The sequence below is a fragment of the Homo sapiens genome, chromosome 11 (assembly GCF_000001405.40).
Source record: "Homo sapiens chromosome 11, GRCh38.p14 Primary Assembly".
Lineage (NCBI taxonomy): Eukaryota > Metazoa > Chordata > Mammalia > Primates > Hominidae > Homo > Homo sapiens.
Window position 1 is genome coordinate 15895950 of NC_000011.10, and position 13772 is coordinate 15909721.

Below are 13772 nucleotides of genomic sequence, written 5' to 3' on the forward strand. Positions count from 1 at the left end.
TGGGGAGGTTTCCTTACTTATAGATGGGGTCACAGGCCCATAAGGACTGGGCTCTTTCTGCCTCAGAAAAGTGAGTACATACTAGGTGCCCACCCAAGTTCATATGTGCCATTCTGTTTCCCTTCTGTCCACAGCACTCCCTCCAAAACCCCCATACTGGGGAAGCACCAAGGCCGGCACGGAGGCTGCTGGCTTCTGCACCCCCTGAGCCTGCTCAGTCCCACAGCCAGGGCCTGAGCCTCAGATGCCGCCTGTTCCCGAGTGGGCAACAGCCTGGGTGGTAATCAGAGATTCCAGCGGAGCCTTTGATGCCGCAGCCGGCGCGGCGAGCTGGGCACTGTTTGAAGTGCCTTCCTGTGTAATAAGGATTTCTAATTCGCTCGAACCAAAGCAACATTTGCAGTAAAGATCATTTTTGGAATGAAAAATAAATTGTGACTGGAGGGTCTGGGTTTGTTTCAAAAAGGGAGATCACCCACAAGCATCGTGCTCTCTGAGAAGCCACCCGCCCACGTGTTTTGAGATGGAGAGCACGCCACTCAGAATTTCAAAGTGCTGTTAATTAAGAGCAGTTTATTAAAATGTCAATCTTTTAAACCAAAACAACTCTCTTCCCCTTGCTTGCGAGTGGGCTTCCCAGCCACTCTTCCCAACCCAAATAACCCAGCTTCTCCAGAGCTCCTGAAAAAGTATCTGTCTACATATTCTACTAAAACCCCGGTGACAACTGCTTCCAGGAACAGCCCGGCACCTGTCATTCTGCTGAAAGCCACCCTCAAGGAGCCTGCCTTCCAAGAGACAGGATAGCCTAGGCACTGAGCCCATGGCCTCAGGAGCCAGACTGCCTAGGCTCCAATGCTAGCCCTGCCTCACTAGCATGTAACTTTGAGCAAATAGTTGACCCTTTTGTGCCTCAGTTTCTTCTTCTTTAAAATGGAGTGAGGATAATAGTACAGTCAGTCCTCTGTATCCATGGGTTCCACATCTGTGGATTCAACCCACCATGAATCTAAAATATTCAGAAAAAAACATTGCATCGGTACTAAATATGTAGACTGTTTTTTCTTTGTCATTATTCCCTAAACAATACAGCATAACAACTTTTTCCATAGCATTTACATTGTATTAGATCTTATAAGTAATCCAGAGATGACTTAAGGTATATGGGAGGCTGTGCACAGGTTATATGCAAACACTATGCCATTTTGTATCAGGGACTTGATCATCCATGGATTTTTGTATCTGAGGGAGGTCCTGGGACCAATCCCCCCGGATACTGAGGGATGACTGTAGCTACCTTATAGGTTATACAAATGAGATAGTGTATGTAAAGCACTTTAGGCTGATACCTAGAACATAGTAAGTGCTAAAGGGGCATTAGTCCAGTTATTTCCCAATGAGCATTAGCCCGCTTACTTCCCCATGAGCAGGTGCTAAATTTCACTTCTGTGTTTACAGATCTGTCTCCTCTGAGGCAGGAAATGTGCCCTCTTTTCCCTGTTTTGCAACTCCAGCAGTCAAGATCTAGCACACAGTAGTTGCACAGTAAATGCCTGTCAAATAAATAAACAAGTCAATAAATGAATAAATGCATGCTAATTCCCATGCATGTTTGGCAAACAGGACAAGGTTAGCTGCCCTGCAGGAAGTCACGATCTAATAACTGCCAAAACAGTTCAGGGCTATGTGGTGGCTCCCAGTGGTCCCACCTCCTGGGATACACTCCCTTGTGTAATCCTCTCGTCTTGTGTGTGGGCTGGACCTAGGAACATGATCCTGATGAATGGAATGCAGTAAAAGTGATGGAATGTCACTTCCATGATTAAGTTATAAAAACTGTGACTTCTCTGCCTCTGACCCTCTTCCTTCTCGGCTTGCTGGCTTTGATGAAGCAAGCTGGTAAAGAACTGAGGGCAGCCTCTGGCCCACAGCCAGCAAGGAACTGAATCCCACCAGCAGCCATGGCAGTGAGCGTGGAGTGTTCCTTCCTCAGTTGAGCCTTGAGATGACCACAGCCCCAGCCAATACTTTGCAGCCTGTGAGGGACCCTGAAGCTCAGAACCCAGGTAAATTGCACCTGGATCCCTGACCTATAGAAACTGTGAAATCATACATGTATTGTTTCAAACCACTAAGTTTTGGGGTAATCTGTTTCACAGCAATAAATAACTAATGCAGGTTCTAAGGGAACAGAAGAATCTTGGGGAGGGAAAGGAGAGGCTGCCTCCTGCCTTGTCTGAAATCATCTACCCTATAGTTTGCTTTCTCCATCAGTCACACCAGAGCCATAGGGGACCCCCAGAAAGAAAAGCATTCAACTCAAATGGGCCTGGCTTTGAGACCCGGCTCTGCTGCTCTCTAATGTGTGACTTTGGGAAAGTTCCCCAATCTTTCCAAGGCTCTGCCTCCTCCTATAAAGGGGGATCACCATACCTGCTTCATGGGTGTGTTGAACAGATTGAGATCATGTATGTGAAAATGCCTGGCAGAGCTTTCCAGACCTTTTGGAGTAGAAGCAGCTGGAGAGACCTGCGTCCTCACTCTGATGGTCACCTGAAGCCCTCAGTTGTCCCTCCAATGATTCAACACATAATCTTGGAGCATCTACTATGTGCCAGGCACTGTGCTAAGCATGGGAGAGACAGCAGTAAACAAAACAGCACAGTTCCTGAGCATTCCGCATAGAGCTGATTCTCTAATAGACAGACATCAAATCAGTAAGGGCGAGAGTGAGATGCAACAACAGAAGCCCAGAGGCTCTGGGAGGGTAGAATGTGGGATGGAAGGTGGGGAGGTAGAGAATGTATGCTGGCATGAGCAGGGGCCTCCCTGAAGAAGTGGACTTTGAGCTCCCAACTCAAGAGTTAAAGGAGTTAGCTGAGTGAAGAAGATGGTAGAAGGCCCAGGGATAATGAATAGCAGAGCAAGCATTTATTCAAGAATTATTGACTTAGCATATACTATGTGCCAGACCCTGTTCCAGATACTGAGGATACAACATTAATCAGAACAGCAAAGTTCCTCCCTCATGAAGCTTATATTTTAGTGGAGGAATTATCTGTTCCAAATATAAAAAGAAGGATAATTTAGGAAACTCCAAAAGGGGTGACATTTGAACTGAGACTTCAAATGTGAGAGGGCACAAAGCACTTAAAGTTCTGGGAGAACAGTATTCCCTGCAGGGGATACAGCAAGTGGAATGGTCCCAAAGCAAAAACGGCATAGCTACTAGAACCAACAAGAGGGCTAGTGGGCTGCAGTGGAGAAAACAAGGGGGAAATGGTCAGAAATAAGGGCAGTGAGGTGGACAGGGTGATCCTACGGTGTCATCCAGAACATGGAGAGGAGTTTGGGCTTTTTATTCTAGGGCTAACAGGAGTTGCTAAAGGTTCATGAGCAATGGGTTTGAGTTCTGAAAACAGACCTCTTGGAATATGAGTGGGGCAAGGGTGAGATGAGGGCAAGTGGCCAGGGTGGAAGCCATTGTAGGATTACCGGTGTGACAGGGACAAGTGGCAGTAGAGGGGATGAAGAGGAGAGCTGGAGGAGGGTCCCTGCCCTAGATTTCACCCTGGATCTTCCTGACAGGACTGTTCCCTCCTCCATCACAGACCTTCCATCAAAAGCCTTTACATAAAGGATAGTAGCACATGCTCTGGAGACAATTGCCAGGGTACAAATGCCGGCTCTACCACTTAATAGCTGTGTGGCCTTGAGCAAGTCTCTTAACCTTTCTGTGTTTCAGGTCCCTCAACAATCAAATGGGCCTAGAAGATGGATTTCACAGTGCTGTCATGCAGATCAAATGAGTTCAAGTGCTAAAGCCCTGACACACATGCGTGCTTGCGGTGTTAGTGATTACAGAATTATAGAGCCTGCAGGCTGTGTGCCACGGGTCTCTGTGACCTCCTTGTCATCATCAAACTTCAAATCCCCAGAGTTTAGAAAAACAAGTGACAAATGATGTGTCCCCATCCAGTCTGGGCTGACTTAACAGGTCCCCCAAGGAACCCATGGATTTCTCACATGCCTCAGCCTGCACTAGGCCCGATGCACCAGCACGCAGGTGTGCTCTACAGCTACTCCCAGAGCAAGCTGCAAGCAGATGGGCCAGGTGTGTCAGGCAGTACCAGCAGTTCCAGGTCCATCTTCCCAGCAAGCCTGTCCTGGGTATGGGGTCTAGGGAGGGCTGAGACTGCCTCCGCTTAGTCACTGATGCATCTTAACACCCACTCCATGCTCAATAGTTGTGCTCTAAACAAACGAATGAATAAATACGTTCATGGGCCCCGCAGTGATGTTCTAGTCAACAATTGACCGCATATACAATGGGGTCCCATTAGATTATAATACTGTATTTTTACCGTACCTTTTCTGTGTCTGGATATGTTTAAATGCGCAAATGCCATTTTGTCACAACTGCCTACAGTATTCAGTACAGTAACATGCGGTACAGGTTTTTAGCCTAGAAGCATTTGGCTATACCAGGACAGCCTAGGTGTGTAGTAGGCTATACCATCTAGGTTTGTTAAGTTCCCTCTGTGATGTTCACATGACAACAACATCACCTAACGACGCGTTTCTCAGAACTTATCCCTGTCATTAAGTGATGCATGACTGTACACAAATGAATGAAGTAGTGAAGGAATGAATGTGTCTTCAACAATATGTGGGTTTCTTAAGGGCATTTATTCGTTCATTCAACAGATATTATTGTATGTGGATCTTCTCCGTGTGCTCCTCTGGATCCCGGCTCTCCTCACTCTGTGCAGGAGGCTGACTTTCATGGACTGTGGTATTCAGGCATCCTTGCCTTTCGGCTGCAGGAGACCAGAGGCTGAGAGCAGAGAGAGACTCCAGCCTTGAGGGGCCTCAACTTGGCCATGGCCCTGCTCCTTCCAACAGCATTCTGGTAACTACTCTCGCCCACATTGCTAGTCGGGGGATGCTTCATACCCCTTGGTGGTTTCCCTTAACTATGCACAACCCCACTGCAAATTAACTCCCATATGGCCTGTCTTCTGAGTGATCTCCTTGGAGGAAGCTCTTACTGCCAAGATTGCACAATTCACATTCAAGAGAGCTGGTGCCCAAGGTTCCTTGTGCCCCCCAGCTATGGAGCCAGGCTACGGAGAAGCCCTCCACCCCAAGGAACCTTAGTCTGTGCAGCCTGAGGCCTGCCCCCTTCCCCAGGCCCCTGCCCCAGGATCTCACTGGCTGACCACAGACCAGACCAGGCCTCTGTGGAGTGAAGGGCAGGAGCGGGTGGGAGGGCCAGCAGAGGGCAGCCCTGCCCGTGCCCTCGGGAGCCTGTCCCTGGGGAGTCTCTCTCCCTTTGGTGATTGTTTCCCAGGCTCCCTGGAGCCAGAGGAGGATGGAATGTTCTTATCGCTCTCCAGAGGGAAGGCTTTCTTCTTCCTTCACAAAAATGTTAAGCTTTATAATCCGATAGGGAACCTGGACAGGCTGCAGCTGGAGGCCTGGGTCCCACTTCTGGGAACTGTGGGGAGAAGAAGAAAAATAGGAGTGGGGAGGGAGGAAACAAGTCCCCTCGAGCAGGGCCAGGGAAGGGAGAAGAGGATGAGGACAGGGGATGGGCAGACCTTCCACATAATGAAAGGGAAACCTTGGAGATGGTCCCCAGACCCCAAGACTGCAAGAGCTCTCTTCCTCACGACTCACTCCACTCCGCCCTGTGAAGGAGGAGGAGCCCAACCTCACGGTTGAAGGTTGCTGGCCTGTTCGCACACCTCTGTGGACAGCAAGCTCACTCTCAGGGCGTCTTGTTCTGTCCCTTGCAGGAAGCCGTGAGTCTGAAAATGTCCCTCACAGAGCTGAAAGCATAAGTTGCTCCCACCTTTTCACGACAGAGGCCTGCATCAGACAGGACAGGACAGGTCACCTCAGTGGGGCCTCCCTCCTCAGAAAGCCTGAGTTTCTTGAGGTTAGAACACTGCCATTTCCTGCAAACAGATCTACTTCCTGAAGTGTGTTGAGCGGGACACTCCCTGAGACTCAGAAATCCTGCTAGAGCCAGAGTTTAAGGACAAGGTGACATGCGCCAGTGGGCCATTTATTCAGCAAATATTTATTCAGTGTCTCATGGGGAAGAAACCAGTGAGGCACTAACTGATAAGCAGTTGCTGATCCCCTACCTCCCAGCTTGATCCAGGGCCTGTGAAACCCCCCAGCTTGGCCTCTGGAACTGTCAATGCCATGGGGACCATATGCTCTGGGAGGCCAACAGGCCTGGCCACTTCTTGGGGCTCCCCCAGGAAGAAAGCCCCACTCTTACCCTGTGCCAGGTCAGTAGGGTAGAGAGAGAAGGGGTGATAGAGTATATTAGTCTTTTCTCATGCTGCTACTAAAGATATAGCCGAGACTGGGTGATTTATAAAGAAAAAGAGATTTAATGGACTCACAGTTCCACATGATTAGGGAGGCCTCACAATCATGGCAGCTGGCAAAGGAAGAACAAAGGGATGTCTTACATGGTGGTAGGCAAGACAGCTTGGGCAGGGGAACTCCTATTTATGAAGCCATCAGATCTTGTGAGACTTATTCACTACCACGAGAACGGTATGGAGGAAATTGACCCCATGATTCAATTATCTCCGCCTGGCTCCGCCCTTGACATGTGGGGATTATTACAATTCAAGGTGAGATTTGGGTGGGGAAACAGTCAAACCACACCATGGAGGGACCCAGGGCCAGGCCCCTCAGAGCTGAGCCAGTGTGCCTCTCCTTCACCTCCTTCCATAAGGCCGACCACAGCTTAAAATGCTTGATCCTGTTAGCTGCTGGACCCCGAGAACAATTGTGCTAAACAGACAAGAGCTGCGGCTCAGGTCCACCTTCCAGTTCTGTACCTGACTGCTCAGTCTTGGCTAACATTCCTCCTGCGACAGGGAGCTCACTTCCTCCTGGGCGGCAGCCCATCCAAAGGTTGGACGTTCTATTAGATAGTCCATTTCGTTTTAACCAAAATCAGATATAAAATAATGCAGACGCAGACTGTCATGTAAACTGGCTTTTAAAAACCAACACCGTATTGTGTACATCTTTCCCTCTATGGATGTGTTTCATGTGTGTGTGTGTGTTTGTGTGTGTTTGTGTGTGTGTGTGTGTGTGTGTGTACATTTATATATACGGAGAGTGAAAAAAATTTAACAATGATTATCTAAGAAGTAAAGTTCCATGTCAGAGGACTCTACACTTTCTAATTTACAGTTTTATACATTGCTTGAATTTTATAGATTATCCATTACTTTTATAATAAAAAAGGACATTTATATTCCAAAATTAAAAATAATATGTTGTTTAAAAGAAGGTGCTGGGTGCAGTGGAGTAGTGGGATAACCTGAGGAAAAAGACACTGTTTAATAGAAGTGGGAGATGGGTGGGTGTGGGACAGAACGTGCCTGACATGCCCCAAGGCCATGCTTCCCAGAAGAGAGGTGACTCATTCCCAGCCAGAGCACCAACTCTCCTAACCTAGGTCAGGTTGATGGAAGGCTCCATCCTGCCTACAGGGCACTGCCCAGGGGGCAGGTTCAAAGTCAAGCTAAAGGGCTTCTGGACATTCTGCATGTGACACCAGTCTGTGTTATCTTTGGGAAAGATGAACGTTCACCTGGGCCAGATGTGTTGCTGTCACTCCAAACTAGGGAGGAGCCAGCTGCAGGCAGCTCAGCAGACCCTGAGGGGCAACCCCTCTGCCTCTGCTCACAGAACAGGCTTTGTGGCCACCCTGAACTGTGGGATCAAGCAGAGGAGAGCTTTCCTTGAATCTGCTCAAAGTTTAAAGGTGCTCAAATTCCCAAATTAAAAAAAAATAATAATGTAGGACCATAGTGGGGAGGCTGGAGATCAAACTTAAGGGTGGGAAAGAGAATGATTTCCAGGGTCAAGGAGGTAAGAACATCTGACTGCAGGTCTCAACAGAGAAAGAGGTGGGGAAACGAGAGGACGCCGAGGCAGGAGGGGAAAGGGGGCATCGCGGTATGCTGGGCTTATCTAGTCCTGCCTTTGGGAGCATATGTATATGCTGCTCTTTTGAGAAGGCTCTGCACACCTCTGCAGTGGTCATTTGTCACCTTTGAACATTCCCCCCTGTGTTTATGGAATTCCCCACTCAGAGTCCTAGTCGGAGGCAGAGACCACCTCTTTCTATGCAGCCAGACCTCTACTTTCCCAGCCTTCTTGCAGTCAAAACTCAAGCCCCTGACCATGCTTTGATCATCAGGATCATCCACATCAAACAGAATCGAAAGCAAAGGATGCAGCCAAGCAGACGCCACCTGGAACCCATTCCAGTGAGGGCAGCAGTAGCCACCACACTCAAGTTCCACAAGAGCCAGGGCTAATCTTCTGGGGCCAGCTGGGATCTGGAGCAGGGAGAGCACTTAGGTTGTCACTGACTGCAGTGTCAGAGCCTGCAGTGAAGGTTTAGGTGCTCTCCCTGGACTGGTCAGTTCTGCAAAGTGATTTTGGATGTTGTTCTTCACTGTGGGCCTCCAGGCCAGTCCTCTGGCCCTCTAGAGATTCTGCAAGTTTCTCAAAATCCTTTTAATAAATCTTTAGTTCACCTAAATTAGCCATCTTGGTTTTCATTGTTTCAAAGGCAGAAGCCAGGCCTGAATTGGAGGCCTGCTTGGTCAGAGGAAGGTAAGGAAGACAGGAGGGTCTCAAGAACAGACACTAATGGCTCCAAGCTGCGCATGGACCCACTGCCCCCTGAAGAACTAAGAACTGTCAGTGGGTTATCAGCATCAATAGAGAAGATCCCTCTTCCAACTCCACTCCTTCCTCTGTTCAAGAAACAATAAAACTCATTCCTGAGTTGCATCAGTGGATGGCACAGAACCCCAGGTTGTGCAGGCCCAGGGTAAGCTAAGTTCCCCATGGCATCTTGTCCTGGGTCTGAGCTGCTCGCATCAATGCTGCCTTGCCGCACAACCCCAGGGTGCGCATTCCTAGTGTATTCTATGAGAATCGCTCCTTACTTCCCGACGCTGTGGTTCCATTGAACTCAGTATGGAATAGTGCTCTGGAGTTGCACAAGATGGTGGCCCCTGGCTGTCAGAGGCAGTAGAGAAATGAGTTCTGAGTTAAGACCCATAGACCTCTGCAAAGCACATACTAGCTAGGAGTAAGTATGAAAGGACTTTGCTGTAATTAGAAGGTTCCTGCACTCCCATAGCCTTTGGCCTTTCAGCATCCACATCTCTGGGTCCTGTCTCAGATGTCACAACCCCAGAGCCTCTCTGCCTCCCTTGGCCTGAAGCATCCACTCTCCACACATACCCTTCCCTGAAAGCTTCCTCCATCATTGCAATGTCTGCCTGAGAGCCTATTTCGAGGCAAGTGTTGGAGGGGCTAAGGGAGGCTGAATTGTGTGTGTGAACCCACCCATGCTGGGGAGCACAAGCCCTATCTCTCTGGAGGTTGGCCGGGCCCTGAGATGTGATCAGCAGCTCCTCCCACTTGCTCTGTGGGAGCCAACACAAACAGAGCCACAGAGCTGCCCCCAGGCTGGCCGCCCAGAAGGCCCACACCTCCGTCCCACCCTCTTGGGCAGCCACCCCTGGAACCAGGAGCCAGGTATCAAGCTTCAGCTGGCTGGACTCCCGGCAGCGCCTGCTGGCCCGCACCGGGCCTGCAGCCCAACCTGCCCACAGGCGCTGGCCACCGCCTGGGCAGCGGGGCTCAGAGCTCAGCCTGTTAGCACCCACCAGCCACCTCCCTCCTCTGGCCCCAGGAGCTGGCTTGGCAGTGGAGCAGGGTGAGTGGATGGGGGTGCCCTGACTCACTAAGCTCCCCAAGACCTCCAAGTTTGCTCCAGGACCCCTTCCATGAGGTAACATGAAACCCAAGCACTCAGGCCAGAAACAGAATGTTTTGAACAATTTGAGGGGAAAAAATTATTCGGACCAATTTTAAGACATCTGAGAGCTCAAGGGGAAAATCGCAGCCACCTCTTCAGGCACTATTGTGTGTCCGCGCCAAACCCAAACGGCTTGGACTGAAGTAGCACGAAGGCTGAGAGGCCCTGCATCCCTCCAGCAGAGGACTGGCCTGACGCCCGGCATCTGGTGCTTCGGTCCTCTGGGCCACCGGGCATTCTCTCCTCTGTGACTCCACACAGCCGACCTATTTTCTGGACTCCCATTGTGTGTGCTTGATGCTCAGAGGTACCACCCACCAGCTAGAGCCATCTCGTTGTCCTTCAAACTCAGCCAGCCATTGCTTCCTCCTAAAACTTCCTTGGCCCCTCCAAGACACCTTGCTGACACGTTAATGGTGCCACGTGGTCCCTAGGACTACCCTTCTCTGGGCCCCTACCAGGCACTGAGCTCTGAACGGGAGCTTGAAATAGGCCCCCTGGGTTAGAGCACCATCACCTTAGGAGGTGGGCGGAGTCACTCATGTCACGGATGGGGACACTGAGGCTCAAAGAATTTAAGTCTTTTACCCAAAGTCACAGCTAGTGGGGTCTGCAGCTGGAATTTAGAACTGGGCAGTAAAGAGCCAGGGGCTGTCCTGCTGTCTTTTCACAACACTCCCCTGGAGGGGAGCAGAGAGGGAGCCACCAGCTTTGCTTGGGGAGAGAGAAGCGTGAGGAAAAGCAGAATAAGCAGAATGCAAACGTTAACAGTGAAAGCAGTAATTAAAGGAGGAAAGGACAGCATCCAGGCAAACAGGCAGGGAAGAGCACTCCGAGGGGAAGCGGAGACCGTAGAGGCCAAGAGGAAGGAGAAACGGCAGCCCTCTGCGGCTCTGGGGCAAGAGGAGAAGGAAATGGGGGACAAGGCTGGAGAGGCAGGCCGGACTCTGGCAGCACCGCCGACCCACAGCCCCTCCACTCACACAAACAGACACACACACACCACACACAAAACCACACTCACACACATACACACGTCACACCGGCCCTACACACAAGCGTGTACACACACACACCCACACACACCTGCCCCCACACACACACATTTCACACACACCTGGCCCTCTACACACACATATCACACTCACACACATACACACATCACACTCGGCCCTACACACACGTGTATGCACACACACACACCACACACACACCCACACACCAGGCCCTACACACACACAGACACACACACCTCACACACTGCCCTACACACCTAGCCTACCAGACACACACACATCCCACACCTGGCCCTCCACACACACACACACACATGCGCGCCCCACACCTAGCCCTCCACACATACACACACCCCACACATCTGGCCCTCCACACACACACGACACCAGGCCTTCCCCACACACACCACGCACACACATACACACACTATACTTGGCCCTATACACAAGCATGCACACACACACACGCCATACAGACACACACCACACCTGGCCCTACACACACACCACTCACATACACGTCACACTTGGCCCTACACACACACACATACTACACACCTGGCCCTCCACACACACACACACCACACTTGGCCCTACACACACACACATACACACCCCACACACACCCCACACCTGGCCCTCCACACACACACACATCACACTTATACAGATACATCAGTCGGCCCTACACACACACACACACACACACACACACGGCCCTATATACACATGCACACACACACACCACACACACACCACACCACATACACACTTGGCCTTCCACACACACACACACATCACACACACACAGACATATATACACAACACCCATCACACTTGGCCCTACACACACAAACACACCACACACTGGCCCTACACACACACACACACATCACACATCACACTCAGCCTTACACACACACACACCACACACCTGGCCCACCACACACACTCATACAAACACACACATCACATTTGGCCCTACACACACACACCCCACACACACTAGGCCCCCTACACACACACACACACACACACCAGCCAGCCCTAGGGGCTTAGCCCTTGTTCTCTGGGTGAGGAGAAGCCATGGTGGGGATCCATGATGGGAAGTAGAAAGCTCAGATCTGACTGGAGACCCATCCCTCCCTCAATAACCCCTGTGGAGCCCATTCTGGAAGTCATGCGGAGCCACGTGAGCACTGCTGAGACCAGCCCAGATACAAAAGACAGGTCTGGGAGGCATTCAAGAGGCATAACTTTTTAAAGTATATTGTTGTCTGGTTTATACGGCATTTGATCATATTCAAGTGGAAGAAAAATCTTTGGTTTGATTTTTCCCCTTTAAAAAGTGTTATTCGTGCTTATAACAAAAACAATTTTTTAAACAAGCAAAAGTATATGAAGTAAAAAAGAGAAAGTCACCTTCCTGTCCTCCCCAATCTACTCTGCCCAGAGGTCAACACTGCCATGAATTTGGTCCTTTCTGAACCTTCTATTTGCACAAAGGTATGTGGCTATGCACATGTAGAGGGTGTTTTTCTTACTTAAGAGTTATACATACTCTGTATCTTGCTGTTTTTCACTCAATAATATATGGTGAGCATCATTATTCAACCATTCAATAAATATTTGTTCGGATCCCACTGCGCAGACAGGGAAGTCAGGTTCCTGCCATCACAGTTTTCACAGACCCGGGTAGGGGAGACCGGCAATGGGAAGGAAGTCATTGAATAATTACAAATTGTGATTAGGGCTGTGATGGTGCGGTGTGAGACAGTAATGGGTGCACTGATTTGAGACGGGGTGAGGGGAGTCCTCTCTCAAAGGAGACATTTAAGCTGAGACTGAAAATATAAGAGCCAGAAGAAAAGCCTGTGAGATAGGGGGGACAGCCTGCACCAAGGCCCTGCACAGAGCAGGGAACGGGGAGGAGCTCAGCAGGCTCAGACCTGTAGGGATCCCAGTGCCATAGGGGCTTGGTGATCTAGGACAAGAGAGGCAGGTGATGAGGCTGGGAGATGGGAAAGGTCTGTCGACCAAGGTAATGAACTTGCATCTTGTTCTAAGAACAGTGAGAGAGTTTTAGGCAGGAGAATTATATTATTTGACTTGTGTTTTAAAAAGAGACTGCTGTCTGCTGCTTAGAGAAGGGATTACAAGGGAACAAGTATGGAGGCAGGCAGACCACTTAGAGATAGGATTGGCAAAGCAACACCTCTCCAGAGATGTCCACATTCTAATCCCCAGACCTGTGAATGTGTTGGGTTATGTGGCAAAGGACATGTAAGTTGGAAAAAGGGGGATGCAGATGGAATTGAGATTACTAGTCAGCTGACTTTAAGATAGAGACATTGTCCTGGATTACCCAGACAGGCCTAGTGTAATCACAAGAAACCCAGAGAGTGGAAGTGAGAAGCAGAAAAGGAGGTCAGAGTGATGCCAGATGAGAAGGACTGGATGAGCATTGCTGGCTTTGAAGAGGAATGAAGGAGACCAGGAGCTGAGAAATGCAGGAAGCCTCTAGAAATTGGAAAAGGTAAGGAAATCGAATCCTCTCTGGATCCTCCAGAAAGGAATGTAGCCCTGCTGACAGCTTGATTTTATCCCAGTGAGACCCCTTTGAGACTTCTGAGCTATTGAATTATAAGATAAAAATTTGTGTTGTTTTAAGCCTCCAAGTTTTGGGTAATTTGTAACAGCAGCAAATAGAAGACTAATTCAGGAGGCTAATGCAGGAGACTGAGTGAGAGGTGCTGGGGCTTGGACCAGGAAGGTGAGAAAGAAGTAGAAGAAATAAATATTTATACTTACAATGACAAAGAGAGAGAGACTCATGGGCTGGGGGAGACTTGGGGACCAATTGGATGCAG